Raw genomic sequence first — 22,960 nt, forward strand, 5'->3', positions numbered from 1 at the left:
TCACAGAAAGGTGATACACAAATGGTTACATTCTTTTGAGTTTCTGATTAGCCTTTCCAAAGGAGGCAAATCAGATATGAATCTATCTCAGTGAGCAAAGGAGTGACTTTGAATAGAAAAGGAGGCAGGTTTGCCCTAAGCAGTTCCCAGCTTGAATTTTCCTTAGTGATATTGGGGGCCCAAGATATTTTCCTTTGACACCACTGAATGGATATAGCACATTTTGTTTATCCATTCATCAGTTAATGCGCATCTGATTGTTTCCACTTTCTGGCTGTTATGAATAATGCTGCTATGAAGTTTTTGTCTGAACATATGTTTTCAATTCTTTTGGATATATCTAGGAGTGAAATGGCTGGCTCATACAGTAATTCTATGTTTAACTTTTTGAAGAAGCACCAAACTGATATCCATAACAGCTGCACCATTTTGCATTCCTGCCAGCAATGCATGAGAGTTCCAGATTCTCCACATTCTCGCCAACAATTATTTTCATTAAAAAAGCAATTATTATAGCTATTCTAATGACTGTGAAGGGATATCTCAAGTGATTTTGATTTGTATATCTCTAATGACTAAGACGTTGAGTATCTTTTCACGGGCTTGTTGGCTGTTTATATATCTTCTGTATTAGTCCATTCTCATACTGCTATAAAGAAATACCTGAGACTGGGTAATTTATAAAGAAAAGAGGTTTGGGTTTGTTTGTTTTTGTTCTGTAAGAATTTAATGTGTAAACATACAGAAAAGTAAGCATTATAGCAACCAAACAGTTTTGCTCACGATAGCAATTTTAAAGACACTTCAACACATACTTTTATGTAAGAGGCTAATTCTGCAAAATAACATTCACTTTCCTATGGAATAATTTCACTGTCTCAGATTTTAAGCCAGAAAAATGAGATTCATGCTGGTAAAGCAACCTGCAAATCCTGCATGTTCTCACAAATAGTATACTTTAACATGGTAAAAAGATCTTCCAAAGGGAGGAAAGAAGGCTCTTAAAGGGGATGGCTGGTGCCTCCCAGAGTAAATCCTTGCCCCAAGGGGCTGCCCTGCTATCTTCAAGACTAAAATGGTCATCACAAATTCAAAGCTAAAAAAAGAAATAACTTTTACCTTCGGTGTATTTGCCTGTTTCAAGTGGTTATCTGCAGATTTATGATAAGTCAGTAAACAGAACAATATTGATAAGATTTCTGAGAACTAAATGGTATTTGGCTCTGGTACGAAGGAGTTGAGAGAATACAACACCTATGTTAATTATCAGCTGCAAATGACAACTTTATGTGAGGTTTCTACTCTAAGGCTTACTTTATTCATGTATTCCATTTAGAATCTTAAAATTTTTTGATACTTCCTTTAAACAAGAAGTAATTCACAAATGCTTAACATAGCACTAAATTAATAAAATAGGTCCTCACACCCATCTTGAATTACTAAAGAAAGTATTGCCATTGAAAGTGATCTTTTTCCTGAGAAAGTTATGTTGCAAAATGGCACAAGACAATACACTTTTTCTCTAATTTTCCACAGGAATACAAGATAGGAAAATCAGATTACAATATATTTTGTGAGGAAAACATGTTTCTTAAAATTGTGTTTTCAGTTACTCTCCAAACAACATATTTTTAGAGGGTGAGAGCCAAATGTAAATTAAGAAGTGATCTTTATGGCAAGAGAATGAATATATATGGTAAATTTTGGTTGGTGTTTACACAATTTTTGTAGGAAATTGTTTACGAGTGGAGAAACTAAGGCACAGAAACAACCAAGCTCAGGTTCAAGGTTGAGTTTAATAGTACAGGTAGAAATAGAATCTAGGGATCTGATTCTCACATTAGAGGATAATAATATCTTCCTAAAGGGGAAAAATAAATTTTTTTTGGTAGATCACATTGATAAATCATTTTTGAAATACATAATATGAATTTCCTTGAAGATCTTTGGCATTTGTGAGAGTATTTGTAGGTTGAGGTTTTTAGGTATTTTTTCCCCAAAAATATATAAAGTTAGGGGAGCTAGCTCTAAACAACAAAAAAATTAATCTTAATTTCAAAATGACCTGAGTTCATTTTGCATTTTTATATAAATCAATAGTACAGCTTGCATACATAAAAGGCCACCACACTTCACTTCATAGAGTTCACACACATGCATTCTACAGTGATATTTATATGATCAGAACTTATTTCACACTTACATAAAGTATAAAATTAAATGTCTTAGTCAAATTTTTCATAAGCCCAACTACTTGAAGATGTCAAAGTTATTACAGTGGGATGATTAATTCATATATCATACAGTATTAGGTTAGTCCCAAATTCAAGTATTTATAATATTCACCTCATGTGAAAGTTTCTTTGTACTGGCTAAGCTGTGAGCTGTGAAATTTATATTGCTTAGCTTGGTATTTTTCCCTGTGTGTATGTTTTCCATCACAAAACCTCTATCTCACAATTCTGTACTTGTAAGAGGTCAGGTAGGTTTATGTAGTCATAATGCAGTAGTCTAGAACATACCATGTAAAAATAAAAAATAAAATTATTTTCAAGTTTGTTTTTAAAGTGCTCCATGTGCTGTATTATATCAACTTTCAAATTCTAGAAATCCATTATGACTAGCAATAGTCTTAGAAAAGATCAGCAGTTAAGCAAGAATGTATGTATACATAGATTAAGGGAGCAAAAATTATTTAGGCACATTCATATTCAAATAATACAAAAAAATCCACGAGAGTACATAAGAGAGATGGCAGAAGGGTTTAGAAGGAATGTCAGAGTGTCAGGGACTAATTTGTAAGGTAACTAGAATGTAAACTCAAAGTGGTTTTGAATATTTTGGTAACAAATATTTGTACAAAAAAAAACAAAAATAAAAATACTTATTCCTTATCAGAAATAAAATATAAAACAAATCTGTCCAAATGTTCAGAAGCTGCATCATAAAAACATTTTTTGAAAAATTTCATGCCTACTAGGTTGCTTCATCCATGTTGTCATCACTGTCTGCACCAAAATCATCTCCATCTTCAAAGTATGAATTAATGTAGTCATTTCCCTCTTCTTGCTCTTCTTCATCATATCCCTCCTGTTCTGCAGCATCATTGTCATCATCATCATCACCTTCTCTACTTTTCTCTTTGCTTCCTTCTTTCTCTTCTTTTCTCATCTGATTTTTCATCATCACCTCTCTTTTCCAATTCCTCAATTTTTTTCAACACATCTGCAGTATTAGTGAGTGATGTGCCTTTGCCTGTGTCTTTTGCCTTTTTGGGTTTTGGGCCTGCTTTTTTACATTTATTTCTTGGCATCATCTCTCTTGGAAGTCTTCTCCAATCTGGTATCCACTCTTCCTTGTATACCTTCATGTATCTTTTACTATACCTTTCAATATCTTGTCTTTCTTCATGAGGGTGTTTCAATAAAATAGGGCATTCTTTTCATTGTTTCTCTCAACTCCTGTTTCAAAGCCAGCATATATTATTCACCTTCTCCTGTCTTCAGTGGCACTGGTTTATAATCTGTATCAGGAAATAGTGGGGGTGGTTTCAACACTACATCAGGTAACTTTTTACCTTTGCTAAATCCAACAGCCTCAATATTAAAGGTATAAGCAGCACGTCCTCATCCTTTATTCCCAGCCATCAGAACTAGTTATACCAGATGAGTGGGCAAATTCTGCTCCCTAAGTCTTAAAGTGTGGGCAAAACTCTGCAGCTGAAATGCCGGCCAGCAAGGAAGGGGTGCAGGCAGAGGACCCCACCGCTCTAGAGCCTGAGAAGCGCGCACTGCCCTCAGAAGAGAGGTTTAATTGGCTCACAGTTCCACAGGCTGCACAGGAAGCATGGCAGCATCAGCTTCTGGGGATGCCTCAAGGAACTTACAATCATGGCAGAAGGTAAAAGGGAGTGAGGCAGGAAGAGAGGGAGGAGGAGCAGGAGGTAGAGAGAGAAGGGGGAGTTGCTACAGACTTTTAAACACCAGATCCCATGAGAACTCTATCACGAGAACAGCACTAGTGGGATGGTGCTAAACCATTCGTGAGAGACTGCCCCCATCATACATGAGGCCTCACCTCTAACACTGGGGATTACAATTCGACATGAGATTTGGTGGGGACACAGATCCAAACCATATCACCTTGTCTGGAGAAATGTCTATTCAAGAACTTCATCTATTTTTTTTTTTTTTGTCTCTCTCTCCCTCCCTCCCTCCCTCTCTGTCTGTCTCTCTCTCTCTCTCTTCTTTCTTTCTTTCTTTTATGGAGTCTCACTCTGTCACCCAGGCTGGACTGCAATGGTGCAATCTCAGCTCACTGCAATCTCCACTTCCTGAACTCCAGTGATTCTCCAGCCTCAGCCTCCTGAGTAGCTGGGACTACAGGCACATGCCTGTCTTTTCTCCAGGAAGATCCAACAGGAAAAAAGAAAGAAATCTCTCTGATTAGACTCCAACCATACCCCACCCTCCATCACATTGACTGGATAGGCATAATGGAAACCAGAACATGTGGTTTCCAAACAAGAAAAATCCTATGAGGGATGGGAGGAGGGGAGAGGAAGGATTCAGCCAGTGCCCAGACTGAAATTGATTAATGTCAATTGCACTCTTCTTCACACATCTTCAGGTTGCATGTTCGTGGAGTAGTTTAGGAATAAATCCACAGCTTGTGGAGTACTAAAATACCTAGTGGTCTGCTGTATTACATTATGGCCTTCCCCAGCAGCTTCCAAGGCAGCCTCCAAGTCACTGGCAGGAGAATTTGGCTGGAACTGCATGGAGGACTGCAGAGATTCCTCTCCATAGTTATAGAAGGGACTGTTCCAGGCCTGATTGTTCCAGGACTGGGTGCACCAGGTCTGAGTGTTCCAGGAGTGGTTGCTCCAGGACTGGATGTTCTGGGTCTGGTTGCTCCAGGTTGAATTGTTCCAGGTCTGGTTGCTCCACATTGGAAAGTTCCCAGTCATGTTCACCAGGCATCCCCAGTGGTAGGAAGAGTAGAGGCTGGGGTAGGTAGGTGCTGAGGCCTTCTGAGTCACACCATTGCTATTCTTTGGCCAGTTGTTTTCCTGCCACCTCTTAGATTTCATTCTCTGGTTCTGGAACCACGTCTTAACCTGTTTGTAGCTGAGGTTCAGGATGTTGGAAAGTTCTTGCATCTGCTGGAGGCTGAAGTATTTCTGTCCCTGAAATCTATCATTGAGTACAAACAGCTGTGTGGAAGAGAACACAGTTCTGGTCTTCTGTTTCTTGAATGGGACCTTGTCTTCCTTTTTTCTGGCACTCTTCTCTGCAGAAGTGGGTTGTTTGCCTTTGGGAGGGGTGGAAGAATCAGGGCTGTCCTAAATAAGCAGATCCACGGAGGAAGGAAGAGGAGAGACAGTCTCCATGTGAGGCATCTCAGCAGAAGACATTTGCAAGGATGGATAGTTTTCTTCAGGCCCACAAATCACAGGTGTAAGTGAAGAGTCTTTACAGACGGATGCGTTGGAGCAAGGCAGGCTTTGTGAACAAGCTGGAGCCACACTCATGTTATTATTGGGGAAGAGGAGGAAAAAATTTAAGAGCTGGACTGGAAAAAAGGTTAAGGTGGCTTTAAGACTTTTTTCTGGAAGATCTTAGAGAAATATGACCTCCAGAAGCGAAAGTATCAAGAGGTTGGGATGAAGTGAGTCGCCGCCACAGTAACCATCATGTTACTTTCTTGCTTAAAACCCTAGATGGCTCTTGATTTCTCTTAGGATAAAATTTGAAATCATTTCCACGGCCGAGGAGATCCTGTAGCATTAGGGCCTGCTGTCCCCAAACTCTTTCGCTGGCTCATTATGTTCCAGGCTGAATGGTCTTTAAGTTTGTCAGAGACACTGAGCCTTTCCCCATCGCCACTCTTTGTATCTGGTGTTGCCTCAGCCTGGAATGCTGTTTGACTCCCTTTCCCCTCCTCTCTGTTACCACTCTCTCCTCCTTTGTTTGGTTAACCCCTATCCATCTTTCAGTCTTGACTCAGAAGCATTTCCTCTGGGATGTCTCTCCTGACTCACTCATACTCTGTTTTGTGTCTGATCTACTACTGGCCTATCTTAAACTCTTTAAAATGCAGATTTCAGCTGGGCGCTGTGGCTCACGCCTGTAATCCCAGCACTTTGAGAGGCCGAGGCGGGCGGATCCCTTGAGGTCAGGAGTTCGAGACCAGCCTGGCCAACATGGTGAAACCCCGTCTCTACTAAAAATACAAAAATTAGCTGGGTGTGGTGGTGGGTGCCTGTAATCCCAGCTGCTTGGGAGGCTGAGGCAGGAGAATCGCTTGAACCCAGGATGTGGAGGTTGCAGTGAGCCAAGATCGCGCCACTGTACTCCAGCCTGGGCGACAGAGCAAGACTCCGTCTCAAACAAACAAACAAACAAATAAAATGCAGATTTCAGGATGGTACCTCATAGTTTCTGATGCAGTAGCTATGAGATTCAGAAAGATGCATCGTAGAAATATTTTTGGGGTGGGTGCAGTGGCTCATGCCTATAAACTCAGCACTTTGAGAAGCCGAGGTGAATGGATCACATGAGGTCAGGAGTTTGAGACCAGCCTGGTCAACATGGCAAAACCCCGTCTCTACTAAAAATGCAAACATTGGCTGTGCGTGGTGGTGCACGCCTGTAATCCCAGCTACTCAGGGGCCTGAGGCAGGAGAATCGCTTGAACCCCTGAGGCGGAGGTTGCAGTGAGCTGAGATCACGCCACTGCACTCCAGCCTGCGTGACAGAGCGATACTCCGTCTCAAAACTAAACAAAACAAAAAATATTTTCGAATAATTCTGGTTCAGGATATGCAGGGCCGTACTGTTCAGAAGCCCTGCACTCGATGACGCTATTTAATTTGTATGTCTTTTTGCTTAAGATATACAAATTCTCACCTATTAGAGTCCATGAAGCTACCATGCTTATCTTGTGCATTGCTGTATCTTCAGAAAATGTCTGGATAGTGCCTGATAACACTGGAAATGGTGAAATTAACACTTGTTGGATGCATAAAAGATGGGGTAGTAATCATTAGGTGTACATACATTCCCTATTTAACTCACAAGAAAATCCTGGTGAAAAACCTGGGAAATCAAGGATTTCCATGTAAACATAGTAAAGTCATATTTCAGTAGAGGAGGTGGTTCTTTGTCTTTGGGAGAAACTGGACGTGGAGAAGAACTCAGTATCATAGCTAATCATTGCCTGGAGCAGAGCTTCTTAACCTGAAACCCAAGATTTCACAAGAAGTCTGTTCACTTCCTAATTGTGTGTGTGTGGGCGGGGGGGGGGGGGGCGGTGAATGTGTATTAATATGTTTCACAATTTTAAAGCATTCTCTAAGTCTGTCACTGTTCTGGGCACTGGGGATATAGTAGAGAAGAAATAGATAAAAACCTCTACCTTATGAGCTTACCTTCTCATGGGGTCAGAAAGACAAGAAATAAAATAAGTGAGTAAAATAGGTAAAACCGTAGTAAGCGATATGGAGAAAAATAAGGCAGGGAAGGAGGGGAGACAGTGGAGATGGGGGTTATGATTCTAAATAGAGTGGTCAGAGAAGGGCTTACTGTGATGGTGACTTGAGGAAAAGCACCTGAAGAGTCAGCCATGTGGTATCAGGCAGAAAAGCATTCCACACAGAGGGATTTTCTGCAACTGTGAAGGCCACGGGGTGGAAATATGCCCAGCATATTGGAGAAACAGCAAAGAGGCCAGCATGGCTAGAGCAGATCAAGCTGGGAAAATCAGGTCAGACGTAATGTCAAGGCCAAAGTCCAAGGAGGACTTTATAAACCATTGCAAGAATTTGGTTTTCACTCTGAATGAGATCGGAAGACAGTGGAGAGTTTTGAGCTAAAGAAACACCAATTTTATGTATTCGTGTACGTGCACATGTGTATGAATGAATATGACTGTCTGTGCATGTGTATGGGCAGGTGGGTGCATTTTTCTGGAGAGATTCCACAGGCGTCCATGTGGTCTCCTTGAGAAGCTGCCCCACGCTGCACTTTTCCTCTGAACCTAATGGCTCCTCCCTTGTCTCCCTCCCTCCCTCCCTCCACCTTTAGAGAGGCAGGGTGCTGCTGGGAGTTGGTTATTTTCTAGGCAGAATCTTAGCAGGAGTTTAAATGTGCCTGCATTGGAGCAGGCAGTTTTCTTCCCTCTTGGACATCATTCCGTTCACAGAGCTGAAGAGCTGGGGGCTCCTTTCATTCGAGAAAAGATGCTCTCACCCCATCAATGAAATCCAAATGGGAAGCAGGGAGAGTCAAGGGGGAAAGCGTCCATTTGGACTTCTTGGCTCCAAAACTGTATTCAGGAATAGCTGTAAGAGGAGGGGCTAAAGTAGAAGGAGGAGGAACAGAGTAGCAATCACGATAATAACAGCTTCACCTTCTCATTTAACACTTATAGCTATATATATAATTTTACTGAATGATTTCCTGAATTCAAATAAGTGCTAGATTATTTGTAAAAAAGTTATTTACCTTTGACATGTGAAACATGTTTCTTGGTATGGGTTTGCTAGGATCTGCATGATAAAAATTATCTGTGAGTGGAATAGCAATTCCCATATTAGATGGAGGCCTGTAGTTTATCTGCAAGTGATTAAACAAAGAAAATGTACAATTCATTATTATGAAGTCTTTAATTTATAGATCTTGACTTTCTAGAAAACCAATCAAGGCAAAAATTCAATTTTTAGCTACAGGTATTAAAGTAAATTTATCTCCCCCAACTTTTCTACCCCTCATTTTCTGGAATTTCAACAATTTTAACCAATGATAATATAACTTGTAAATAAGTGAAAAAACTGCCATAAAGTCAATGCAATTAAAGTTTAAACACTTTATCAAAGAGTCTTAGTGATGTATCATAGTTAGTAAATAATTCTTCAAGTTTGGTTATTTGCTTTTTGTCACAAAGAAAATTATAAGTAATAAATTAGTTGATAAAGAGCAACATTTTATATTTAAAAAGAGTCACAAATTCTGACAAGGCAAAAGTTAAAATTATTACATTGAAATGGGTAGATATATAGTTGACCCTTGAACAACACAGGGGTTAGGGGTGCAGACCTCCTGCACAGTCAAAAATTCACATATAACTTTTGACCACCCCAAAACTTAACCATTAATAGCCTACTGTTGACCAGAAGTCTTACTGGTAATATAAAGTCGATTAATATATATTTTGTATGTAATATGTATTATATGCTGTATTCTTACAATAAAGTGAGCTAGAGAAAAAATGAAAATGGATTTATAGTAGTATTCTGTATTTATGGATACTGTAACTTTACATCATCTGTTTACAAGGTGAATTGTCTGTCTGAAATCCAGGGAAACTGCAGCTGAAGAACCTCAATCTACAGTGTGCTTCAAGAAATTCACCTTTTTTTTTTTGTAATGTCATGACTTTTCTCTGCCTCTTGGGAGTACTTCCAGCACCACTTCATATGGAACCCATGGTGTTATTTAAGGTTTACAGTATTACACGATGAAAAGTACATTAGAGCCACGAGAGGTCACTTTTTATTGTGAATTGCAATTTACTGGCTAGGTGAACTGCTCACATGCAGATGAATAGCCTCTCAGGGCATTTTAAAGGAATACTGGCAACATTAGAGTTCACCCAAGTAGCACCAGAAGGCGGCTACAAAATTATTACAGTAGTACAGTGTGTACTACAGCTGATTTTATGCAGTTATGATTTAATACTGTATCTTTACATTTGCTTACATTTCTCTGGCTTGATGTACTATCTGTGTTTGTGTGTGTAAGTTTTGATAAATTTTAACTTTTTATAATGGATTTGTGTATAGTTTATGATAGCAAATGATAAAATAGACTAGTATCTATATATATTTTATGCATTCATGACATATCCAACTTTTTATTAATTTTTTAGATATTTCTTTTTAAAATTTATGTATTTATTTTTGAGACAGAGTCATGCTCTGTGCTCTGTTGCTCAGGCTGGAGTGCAGTGGCACCATCTCCGCTCACTGCAACCCCTGCCTCCCAGGCTCAGCCTCCCGAGTAGCTGGGATTACAGGCGCGTGCCACCGTGCCGGGCTAATTTTTGTATTTTTTGTAGAGATGGGGTTTCTCCATGTTGGTCAGGTTGGTCTCGATACCCTGACCTCAAGTGATCTGCCCGCCTTGACCTCCCAAAGTGCTGGGATTACAGGCGTGAGCCACCACGCCTGGCTGATTTTTTCTGCATTTCTAAGCTATGAGGTTTGTCTGTGAATTTTTTCAATTGTCACAAAATTCCAAAAGAAGTCCAATATATTTCTTGAAAAAAATCCGCATGTAAGTGGACCTATGCAGTTCAAACCTATTGTTCAAAGGCTAATTGTATCAGCTTAGGACAAGTCAATGTAAGGGAAAATAGTTGAATATATCACAAAAGACAAAGATCACACCAACATATAAAGTGTAAAATGATAATAATAATGACACTAAGTTACCAGGAAAAATAATTATTTCAGAAAGCTTTTACAGCTTAGAAATCATCACATCCTCAAAATGACATGAGGATTAAAAAATAACTGTGAAGTGTTTTGAGCCACTCACAAAAGAAATGCTGAAACTGAATGGGTAGGCAATCACACAAAAGTCACATAGCATTGCTTCTTAAACCAATATACTTAGATTTTTTTTTTTACCGGCAAAGTTTTGATGAGGTTAAAACCCTGACTGTCTTTATGAACTCCACTAATCCAGTCTTCAAATGGGATAAATTTGCTAGGAATGTGATGCATAGATCTGAGATAACTACAGCTGCTTTTCAGTGTTGGCACCATTGTCGTAACAAAGCACTCAGTAGAGGCTGACCACATAATAAATGCCAGTGAAGTTGAACCCTGGAAATAACCAAATAAATGAAGGTTATTTAAAGTAACTGTTATGGACTGAACTGTGTCCAACCAAAAATCACATGTTGAAACCCCAACCTCCAGTATCTCAAAATGTGGCTGTATTTGGAGATAGGGCCTTTAAGGAGGTAATTAAGGTAAAATGAGGTCATTTGGGTGGGCCCCAATCCAGTGTCACTGGTGTCATCTTATAAGAAGAGGAGATTAGGATATAGACAACACAGAAACTGAGGGGCAACCATATGAGGACACAGCAAGAAGATGGCCATACACAAGCCAAGTAGGGGGGCTGCAGAGGAAACCAACCCTGCTGATATCTTGCTCTTGAACTTGTAGCCACTAGAACTGTAAGAAAATAAATTTCCATTGTTTGAGTCACCAAGCCACCAAGTCAGTGGTATTTTGTTGTGGCAGCCATAGCAAACTAATATAGTGAAGAATATAGAAAACTAAAAAATATAGAAAAAGAAAAGAAATACAAAAAGACATGACAGAAGTAGAAAAATATTTGACCATAAAGATCTGTTTGAGAATAAATCATAATAGAAAACATATTCTTTTCCAGGAAGAAATATATTCCAATCTAATTGGTTCGGGGAAGTATTTGGAAATAAGCTAGGATCAAGAACCTGAGGACTGGCTGGGCACGGTGGCTCACGCCTGTAATCCCAGCACTTTGGGAGGCTGAGGTGGGTGGATCACCTGAGGTCAGGAGTTCAAGACCAGCCTGGCCAACATGGTGAAACCCCACCTCTACTAAAAGTACAAAAATCAGCCAGACGTGGTGGCATATGCCTGTAGTCCCAGCTGCTTGGGAGGCTGAGGCAGGAGAATTGCTTGAGCCCGGGAGGTGAAGGTTGCAGTGAGCCAAGATAACACCACTGCACTCCAGACTGGGTGACAGAGCTAGCCGTCTCAAAAACAAACAAACAAACAAAAAAACCAAAACCAAAAACAAAACCAAAAACAAAAAAAGAAACATGAGGACTATAGTTAATAATACTGTATTATAATCAGTACTTGAGTATTTTTGCTGAATTAGCAGATTATAGCTGCTTTTACCACATTAGGGGAAAGTGGATGCCTATGTGAGGTATTTATTCCACAATGGTAATCATTTTACTACATATATGTGTCTTACAACAACACATTGTATTCCTTAAATATACACAACAAAATTTATTTTAAAATATTTTTTAAAGACTTATTAAATAAATACCACTGTTACATCCAACTCATATCGTTGAGGCTTCCCCATTCACTGATGAGCACCTGAATATTTGGTTTGATGATATAAATAAAATAACTTTGATTGTTTACTGTTTTCTTTCTTTCTTTCTTTCTTTCTTTCTTTCTTTCTTTCTTTCTTTCTTTCTTCCTTTTTTTAAGAGATGAGATCGCGCTCTGTCACCCAGGCTGGAGTACAGTGGCACTATTATAGCTTACTTCAGGCTTGAACTCCTGGGCTCAAGCGATCCTCTCACCTCAGCTTCCTGAGTAGCTAGGACTATAGATGTGTGCCACCACACCTAGCTTTTGAAATCTGAAATTTACTCTTAGCAATTTTGAAATGTACAATACTCTATTATTAACTATATTCACCATGCTGTGCAAATAACTAAAAAAATTTTTTTAAATTTTTATAGAGACGGGGTCTCGCTGTGTTGCCTAGGCTGGTCTCGAACTCCTGGCCTCAAGTGATCCATCTGCTTTGGCCTCCCAAAGTGTTGGGAACAGAGGTATGAGCCACCATACTTAGCCTGATTGGTGTACATTTTGAAAATAAAATTCACTTAGTAATCACTGTATTTCATAAAGATAGATTTTTATCTAGATTTTTGCTAGATTTTAAAAATATACGCACAGTAAATGTACTTGATCTTTGAACAATATTAAACAGCAGTGCAATTCAATAAATTCTATTTACAATTCTGAAGTATTTTTGGAACTTTAAAAATGTAGAAATACTAATAAACGTAGTGATATAGTAGGTTCTGGTAGTGGTCATTTTGTCCTGTCCCCATACTCTGTAGCCATTAAGAATAACGTATTTTTATTACTTTTGTCAAACACATTGACACTGAATTTAAGCAGAGTTCCACTATTAAAGGAAATACAGAGGTCTAATGGCAAAAGTTAAGATACAAGGAAGCAAACAGAAAAATCTGGAATGTTGGAAATTCTATAGTACAACTGACCCAATTTCTACAATTCAATGGCAGGGGAAGAAAATGGAGTAGTAGCTGCCTTCAAATAAAAGACTTAAAAGATAAACAACCATATACTGTGTGAATCTTGTTTTATCTCAGTTCAAACAAACTGACTATAATTTTTTTTTAGAAAATTAGGGAAATTTGATTATGAACTACATTTTATACAATATTAAAAAGTATTTTAAAAAATTTTAGGGATGATAATGGCTGTTGTCATTATGTGGGAGATAACATACTTTTTTTAGAGATGTATATTGAAGTATGTGGGCATGAAATCACATGCCTGATGTTTGTTTTAAAATACCTCAGAATACAAACAAAACAAATTAAATAGGGATGATAAAACAAAAGTAGCACAATCTTGACTATTGTTTAATTTAGGTAATGGATGTATGGAAGTTCTACTTTTGTCTATATCTTAAAGTTTTCATGATAAAAAAATTTTAGAATATGTAAGAAAAATATTGACTTGAAAGGATTAGAACATACAGTTAAATGGAATGAGCACGTCTAAAAGTGTATATACCATGTGTCCTAATTTCAGGGAAAAAAAAGAAAATATTGTAAGTTAATAGTTATTGAGCATTTTCTGGGTGCCAGGCAATGTTTTAGATATGCTATTTGTAGTATTGTTAGAGTAGGCAGAAGTGAGCAGGAAGAAGAGCCTCTGGGAAAGGAATCCTTGGAGATGCTGCCCACTGATTGCAGGCACTGCCCACTGATTGTCAGCACTGCCAACTGACAGCAAAGAAAAAAAACAATGGCTACAATGGCAACTTCTGGCCTCATGGACTGGGCTTATCAGGCTTATTAGGCCCTAGTTGGAGATAACTGTGGTAGGGACTCTATCTGATGACAAGCACCGCACTCCTCCAAAATCTCGCCCTAGAGTAGCCTTTTGCTCATTATAATACTAAAAAGCACACCCTGGGTGGAGAATTTAAATGCTAATGAGAAATGTGATGTGTGTCCTAGCATGTGCAACCACAGCGCATGCACCCAAGGGACCACTTGAAACATGCTTGCAAGTAACACCCCCTCATGGTCCTTCATGAATAATCATGTAAGATTCTCATGAAGAAGGTTTCACTAACGCTAGTTGGAGCTGCATCATTCTCTTGAGCAGCCAGCTCTGAGTGTATTGTTGCTTTAAATAAACTCCCTTGCCGCACGTCTCTTGGCTGAATTTTTTCCTCCAAGAAGACATGAACTGAGGACCCCGCACCCCTCCTGGTAACACTATCACATTTAATTCTCAAAACAACCATGTGAAGTAGGTATATTGTCACCTCCATTTTACAGATGAGGGATCTTAGCCACAATAAAGTAACTTTCCCAAGGTCACACAATACCAGAAGTGAGAGCCAATCCAGGTAGTCTTCTCTAGGGCTCACACTTTTATCCTCTGTTCTGAACCTCTACACTGCCTTTTTAAATACCCAAAATGTTAAAAGTGCTTAGTCATCCTTAAAAGATATGGCTAGGTGCAGTGACTCAGGCTTGTAATCTTAGCACTTTGGGAGGCCTAGGTGGGTGGATCGCTTGAGCCCAGGGCTTTGAGACCAGCCTGGGCAACATGGTAAAACCCCATCTCTACTAAAAACACAAAAATTAGCCAGGAATGGTGGGCCTTTAGTCCCAGCTACCAGGGAGACTGAGGTGGGAGGACTGCTCGAGCCCAGGAGCCCAGTACCTTGAGACCAGCCTGGGCAACATGGTAAAACTCCATCTTTACTAAAAACACAAAAATTAGCCAGGCGTGGTGGGCCTGTAGTCCCAGCTACTAGGGAGACTGAGGTGGGAGGACTGCTTGAGCACAGGAGGTCAAGGCTGCAGTGAGCTGTGATCACACCACTGCACTTCAGCCTGGGCATCAGAGAGAGACCCTGTCTCAAAAATAACCAAAACAAAACAAAAGATAGATAGAATTAAGCATATTTTTTTCCTTCTGTTTCATAACTTACATTATAAATTTGCTATAATTATGAATATAATGTGGAATAATTAAATCAATCTAGTTAACATAGCCATCACCTTGAATACTTAATCATTTTGTGGTGAGAACATTTAGAATTTACTCTCTTAGCAATTCTGAAACGTACAATACTATATTATTAACTATATTCACCATACTGTGCAATAGAACTAACAAAAACCCATATTCTTCCTGTCTGAGATCTTGTACCCCAGGGGTCCCCAACCCCCGGGCTGAGGACCAGTACCAGTCTGTGGACTGTTAGGAACCTGGCCTTACAGCAGGACAGCAGGAGGTGAGTGGCAGAGAAGCATGTATTACTGCCTGAGCTCCACCTCCTGTCACATCGGCGGCAGCATTAGATTCTCATAGGAACTCGACCCCTATTGTGAACTGCACATGCGAGGGATCCAGGTTGCACATTCCTTATGAGAATCTAATGCCTGATGATCTGAAGTGGAACAGTTTCATCCTGAAACCATGCCCCCGCATCCCATTCCATGGAAAAACTGTCCTCCATGAAACTGGTTCCTGGTGCCAAAAAGGTTGGAGACCACTGTTGTACCCCTTGACCATCCTTCTTACCTCCAGCTCTGTAACCACCATTTTGTTCTCTGCTTCTATGAGTTCAATTTTTTAGATTTCACATACAACCGAGGATGTGTGGTATTTATCTTTCTGTGTGCCTGGCTTATTTCACTTAGCATAATGTTCCAATTCCATCATTTTGTTGCAAATCACAGACTTTCCTTCTTTTAAAAGGCTGAGTAGTATTACATTGTGTATATATTCCTGCACCATATTTCTTTATCCATTCATCTCTTAATGAACTTTTAGGTTGACCCGGTAACTTGGCTGTCCTGAATAGTGCTTCAGTAAACACTGGTACACAGACATCTTTTTGACAAATGGATTTGAAATATTTTGGGTAAATACCTCGATTTGAAATTGCTAGATCATACAATAATTCTACTTTTAGTTTTTTGAGGATCATACATACAGTTTTCCTTTTTTTTTTGAGATGGAATCTCTCTCTCTGTTGCCCAGGCTGGAGTGCAGTGGTGTGATCTCGGCTCACTGCAACTTCCGCCTCCCGTGGTCAAGCGATTCTCCTGCCTCAGCCTCCCGAGTAGCTGGGATTACAGGCGCATGCCACCATGCCTGGCTAATCTTTTGTATTTTTAGTAGAGATGGGGTTTCACTGTGTTAGCCAGGATGGTCTTGATCTCCCAACCTCAGGTGATCCGCCCACCTTGGCCTCCCAAAGTGCTGGGATTGCAGGCGTGAGCCACTGCACCTGGCTGTATACCGTTTTCCATAATGACTCTACTAATTTACATTCTCAGCAACCGTGTACAAGTGTTCCCTTTTCTCCACATTCTCACCAAAACTTATCTTTCATCTTTCATCACTTTGTACCTCATAAATTTATACAATTATAAACTGTTGATTTACAATAAAAAAAAAGAAAAATGCTGAAGAGCACATTTATTCCGTATCTGTCTCTAGTCCTTTCCAGTGATTTTTTGTGGTTCTCATTTACTGAATAAAGTAATGCTAACGAAGGGTTCATGCCCTGGTAATTGTCCACTGCTAAAAAAAAATGACTTGTAAATTTATAATTTGAAAAATGTTTGTTTTTCCTGAAGAATTGAGATATTTCTTCCTCTTAGATGCTAGGAGTTTAGTAAGCTACATGTATTTTATTTTTCACCATTTAGTTTTCATTTAGTAGCTCATCTTTATTCTATCACAATTTCAATAAGTCTATCATACTAAGTACATATTAAGAACATGGTATAAATAATAAGCCTTTATTTCAACTAATGAATTTCTTATTATTTAAAGTATTCCCCTTTTTTTTTTTTTTTTTTTTTTTTTGAGACAGAGTTTCACTCTTGTTGCCCAGGCTGGAGTGCAATGGCACGATCTCGGTTCACTGCAACCTCTGCCTCCCAGGTTCAAGTGATTCTCCTGCCTCAGCCTCTCGAGTAGCTGGGATTACAGGCAAGGGCCACCATGCCTGGCTAATATTTTTGTATTTTTAGTAGAGACGGGGTTTCTCCATGTTTGTCAGGCTGGTCTTGAACTGCCGACCTCAGGTGATCCACCCGCCTTGGCCTCCCAAACGTACTGGGATTACAGGCGTGAGCCACCACACCCAGCCCATATTCCCTATGTTTAAGCAGTTGAAGGAAGAAATGTAATTAACCGTATACACATATAAAGCGATAAAAAGGAGTCCAAGTTAAACAACAACAAAAAAAGAAATGGCCTCAATTGCTACTGTTTCTTGTTACCTTTTTCTTTAATTTTTAATGTGATATTTGCAAAAATTATAAATTGAACCTATTAAATTGCCAAGATTTCACTGTGTTTTGGTCTGCAAAAGGGTAATTTCATACAGCTCAACTTAATATTTTTGTGGTAAAAAAATATGATTCTGAAATGTGCAGTTACCTTTAGTTGCATCTCAATTTTTCTTTTAAGTTTGATAAATATATAAGTAATTACTAAAAATATTATGTAGGACATAGATCTATTTTTATAAAATTATTACAACACTTTCTTCAATGTATTTATCCTTGTAACCCTATACTCTTATGTGTGTATTTATAAACAGAGATGTTTAAAATGATGCTCATTAAATATTAATAATAGTTGTTTCAGAAAATTTTTTCATCAGTAAGAAATGTTTTGTAAATGAAGAAAATCCTACCTGATGTAAAACTTTGCTAGCTGCAGAAATTGTTATTACATAACTGTCAGTATCATCAAAAGTCACTTCAGCTGTAACTTCCAACAAATTAGGGTTTCCAACAAACACAGTCAGTAGTGGTATTTCAAGCATTCGAAAACCTATGGAAACAAGGTTAACAGTTAATATTAGATAATGAAAACTGTAAACTCAATTGAATAATGATTGGCTAATCAGATTTTAGAACATCAACTGAATCTATTCTGAAGGTTGCACAATGACTGCACATACAGTTAGCAATTTATATAGAGTCAACTTTAATAGTTCTGTTACAGGAAATGGGTCCTGATCCAGACCCCAAGAGAGGGTTCTTGAATCTCACACAAGAAAGAATTCAGGGTGAGTCCATAGAGTAAAGTGAAAGCAAGTTTATTAAGAAAGTAGAGGAATAAAAGAATGGCTACTCCATAGAGCTGGTGGTTGCCCATTTTTATGGTTATTTCATGATAATATGCTAAATAAGGGGTGGATTATTCATGCCTCCCCTTTTTAGACTATATAGGGTAACTTCCTGATGTTGCCATGGCATTTGTAAACTGTCATGGTGCTGGTGGGAGTGTAGCACTGAGGACAACCAGAGGTCACTCTGATTGCTATCTTGGTTTTGGTGGGTTTTGCCCAGCTTCTTTACTGCAACCAGTTTTATCAGCAAGGTCTCTATGACCTGTATCTTGTGCTAACCTCGTATCTCATCCTGTGGCTTAGAATGCCTTAACCATCTGGGAATGCAACCCAGTAGGTCTCAGCCTCATTTTACCCAGCTCCTATTCAAGATGAAGTTGCTGTGGTTCAAACGCCTCTGACAGTTCTCAGAAAAATGTAACTTTACAAATATTTTCTCAGAGAAATGTTTCCCTCATTCCTCAGCCTGCTTCTCAAATGCTAATCAAGGTCTCCAATAATACTGGCTACACTGAGTTGGTTGACTGAGTAGAAAAACTGAAGGGTACATGCCCAGTTGAAAGGGCTGCCAGTTAATTGTTGCCAAGAGAAAACTCTTATGCATTTCAAACAAAATATTTCACCAGACCAATTTCTGCCTGCAGGCCACCTGTTTGCAACTTTGCCATACTGAGCACTTCAGTGGAAAAACAGATTTGAAATACTATGTAGTCTAACTGGCATCTTTACCAATCAATAAACCAGAGTTTATAAACACCTGCAGCTGTTTCCCTTAAACCAAAGTGACCTGGCCAGTGCTTCCTAGCCTTTACCCGGAGATTTTGTTGAAATACAGATTGAGCAGGTCTGGAGTGAGGCCTGAGATTCTGCATTTCTAACAAGTGCCCTGGTGATGCTAACACAGGTTCAGGGACCACACCTTCAGTAGATTTGACTAGATTTTTCTGCAGAAACAGGCAACTTAGTTGATTTGTTGATTATTATTTACTTCCATCAAACTGAACACATATAACTGATTGAGCCCTTTAATAAGCAATTCAGTATATTTTAAAGGGAAAATAATTAGAACATTGCGGTGTTGGTGACAGAATATAGAGAGATTACAATGGAACAGATCCTAAAAATTCAGAAATGGTCAGAATAACAGGTAAATTGTATACTAAGATAAAGTTATATTTTGAAATCAGCAGAGAAAGGATGCATTAGTGAATAAATAATATTGGAACAACTAGCTAACCATACATAATATACCAAAATAAAATAGAGGTAACCTAAAAATTAAATAGAAAGTTAAAACCATAAAATTAAAACTTCTAAAATTACTTGAAGGAAATAGGGACAATTAGTCATACAATCAACAAGAAAGGATTTCCAAGGGTTTCAGATAGAAGGAAGGTTTTCAGGACATTTAATCCACGATATTGAGGGAAATAGATGTTCTCAATTTTTTTCAAAACTTCTAATTTTCACTTATATAAACTACTTGGTTCTGTTTTTTCAAATAAGCCTTTTTTTTAAAAAAAAAATAGCATTTTGTCCTTTCATTATGGTTCCTATATCTTCTTTTACTCTGAGAGTTTTATGCATACTCATTTGATAGTGTCTTTCTAATTTTTCTGTTATCTCAAGTTCCTGGAGTCTAAAATTTTCCTATGCCTGTTGACTCTCTGTTATGGTGGGTCATTTCCTTACATAGTTTTAAAGTTCTTTTCCTCAATTTGTGATCAATGGAGACTGATTTTTCCCTGGAAGTCCATATTACCTGGGTCATAAAAGTATTCCTACAGAGAGTAAATTTAAAATATATTTTTAATGTAATAAAATTGTGTGTGTGTGTGTGTGTGTGTGTGTGTGTGTGTGTGTGTGTGTGTGTGTTTTAATAGAGACAGGCTCTTGCTATATTGCCCAGGCTGGTCTCAGACTCCTGGGCTCAAGCTATCCTCTTGCCTCGGCCTCCCAAAGTGCTGGGATTAGAGGCATGAGACACCATGCTTGACCCCTACAGAGTTTTGTGCTTCCTTGTGTTGGGGCCCAGGTGTTATTATTTCTCAGCGTGGAATTCTGCATGTGAATGCAGAATTCAGTCTCTGAATGTGATACAGTCTTGAAGTTTTGATTTTTTACGGGAAATTCCTTCTCCCCATTCTAAGCCCATGCTGCTGCTTTAGGAAAACTCTGGTGGACAGAGTTTTCCTAATTCTCTCTTCATGATTTGATGGTCCCAGCTTTCTTTAATGGTCTCCATTCCAACTTCCTTCCACAAAGTAGTAAGGCCCAAAGTCAAACTTTCTGTCAACAATTGGTCATTAAAAGTTGTCTCACTGCCTTATGATCAGTATCTGGGCCTCACATCCTCCAGGGAGTCATACATTAGCTAATTTCTTTGGTTTGAAGTTCCCTTTTCATTTCTGGTGGCACAATTTTCTTCTTTTCCTTGCCCTTTCTCCCCTACTCCCTCCCTTCCATCTTTCCTTCCTCTCTTCCTATCTCAGTTATTTACTAAAATTTTTTGTTTTATTTTTTCCATTGTGCTATTTCGCTAGCATCTTTAACAATTTTTGTATTACTTTTGTAATAAATAAATAGCTGGAAAAATGGGGGAAAGTATAGAATTCTACTTCAAGGTCTTTTTTTTGGCTTAAAATAAATACAGTCATTCTGTGGTATATACAAAGGGTTGGTTCAAGGAGCCCTGTATATACCAAAATCCACATATACTCAAGTCCCTAAATTGGGCCTGTGGAACTCACACATAGGAAAAGTCAGTGCCTGTGTATATGTGGGTTTCACATCCCGCAAAAACTGTGTTTTCTGTCCGTGTTTGGCTGAACAATATCTGCACATAAGAGGATCTGCAGAGTTCAAACTGGTGTTGTTCAAGGGTCAACTGTAGCTGAAATAAATATAACAATACCAAAGTAATTAAAAAGTTTTCCTTTCAGAGGGCAACAGAAATCTACACTAAAATTCTGTGTCAACTTGGGCTGGTAGCAATCTCATTTTCCTCATTTGTAAAATGAGGATTATAATCTATATTTTTAGGGTTGTTATAAACATTAAATAAAATAATGTATAGAAATATGGCTGAGCGAGGTGGCTCACGCCTGTAATCCCAGCATTTTGGGAGGCTGAGGCAGGTGAATCACTTGAGGTCAGGAGTTTGAGAGCAGCCTGGCCAACATGGCAAAACCCTGTCTCTACTAAAAATACAAAAAACTAGCCGGGAGTGGTGTACACTTGTAATCCCAGCTACTTGGGAGGCTGAGGCAGGAGAATCGCTTGAACCCAGGAGGTGGAGGCTGCAGTGATCCAAGACTGTGCCACTGTACTCCAGCCTGGGCGATGGAGGGGGAGTCTGTCTCACAAATAAATAAATAAATAAAATAATAGTTTAATATAGAGCCCAGTACATAGTAAGTACTCAATAATTAGGCACTAATACTGTTAGTAGTAGAATGCCAACAAGTATGGGAACCAAGGATAAAGTCAGTCAGTATCAAAGAGTATATTTCACATTCAAGAAAAGAAATAACATTTCCTTTTTATATTTTCCGATCAAAACAAACTTACCTTTTGCATTCCGTATGACCTTAGCTTTTAAAACATAAGAGTTTCCCAGATCAATGTATTTCACGATGTTGAGGGATGGTGAATCATCATGTTGAAACCAATAATTACATGGTTTTGAATATATTTTCCATGTTCGTCCATTCCTTTGCCCAAAGTTGTATAAGAACCATGTGCTCTTTAGAAAGGTCATATTGTTGGGTGCACTTTCAGGCATGGTAGCAATGGCTAATGCATTCTTATTATCTAAAATGCTTGTGATGAGGAAGCTGCTGTACCCGGGAAGCACTACAGTCTTCTCTATATCTGTATCTTCAAACAAGGCCTGAACAACTGGAGATTAAACAGAAGAGACTTGGTATTAAATCAAACATCCGATGTTTGCCAAACAAACTGATGTACATAGCTAACAAATACACTGTTTGAGTTTTTAAACTATCTCTTAACCAGAGAACACAGTTGCCAAATTTCAGTCATAATTCAAATTATTTTATAGAAAGTTTATCATAAATAGACCATGCACCTATGCTTTAATGTTTACTGTGAAACTATTGTATAAAATTTTTGGCAGTAAAAAACCATGTAGAGCTAAGTAAAGAAAGCTGATTTTTTTTTTTACTATGGAAATACTAAAAGCCTTAAAAACCTAAAATCTTTATTGTGATTCTACAAGAGAAGGATAATGTAGCCAGTTTCCCCAGTACCTAAAGATGTGCTTATTACACAGAAGATACTCAATAAATATTTGTTGAATGGATGAGTGATTGAGTATTTAAGGAGAATATGAAGATTTAGAAGAAAAGAGGTTCTTGGGCAGGACCTTAAGGAACATCATCATTTAAGGAATGGAAAGGGAAAAAGATCCTCTCACGGAGACGAAGAAGAAATGATTGGAGAAAATCAGAGAAGACATCAATGAAGCCAAGGAAGGCTGTTGAAATGAGAGGGAAGTAATCATTATCAAAATATTTTTGATAGGTCATGAAACATGTCATCAATACTCTCTTACTCTAAAATAAAATAGAAACAGTCAGAAGAGGGCTTCATCATTGCCTTAATTATGCACACATGCTCCAATTTCTCCCAGTTCAAACCGACCAACGAAAATCCTTTCCAATATTCCCTCCAACCACCATGTAATT

The 22,960-nt window shown here is 38.6% G+C and overlaps 1 protein-coding gene and 2 pseudogenes across 1 annotated transcript in view; all 3 read right to left on the reverse strand.

The window, feature by feature from the left end:
* Positions 1-22,960, reverse strand: part of CATSPERB (catsper channel auxiliary subunit beta) — a 151,389-nt gene that overhangs the window by 19,089 nt on the left and 109,340 nt on the right. Inside the window, exons 19-22 of the mRNA NM_024764.4 lie at positions 21,822-22,151; positions 17,811-17,950; positions 10,694-10,891; positions 8,508-8,618 (exon numbers count right to left, since the gene is read on the reverse strand). Coding sequence (NP_079040.2) covers positions 8,508-8,618; positions 10,694-10,891; positions 17,811-17,950; positions 21,822-22,151 — 779 coding nt within the window. The remainder of the gene's footprint in view (positions 1-8,507; positions 8,619-10,693; positions 10,892-17,810; positions 17,951-21,821; positions 22,152-22,960) is intronic.
* POLR3GP1 (RNA polymerase III subunit G pseudogene 1) lies at positions 2,782-3,777 on the reverse strand (annotated as a pseudogene).
* Positions 4,396-5,736, reverse strand: NANOGP7 (Nanog homeobox pseudogene 7; annotated as a pseudogene).

Source organism: Homo sapiens, chromosome 14 (assembly GCF_000001405.40).
Source record: "Homo sapiens chromosome 14, GRCh38.p14 Primary Assembly".
Lineage (NCBI taxonomy): Eukaryota > Metazoa > Chordata > Mammalia > Primates > Hominidae > Homo > Homo sapiens.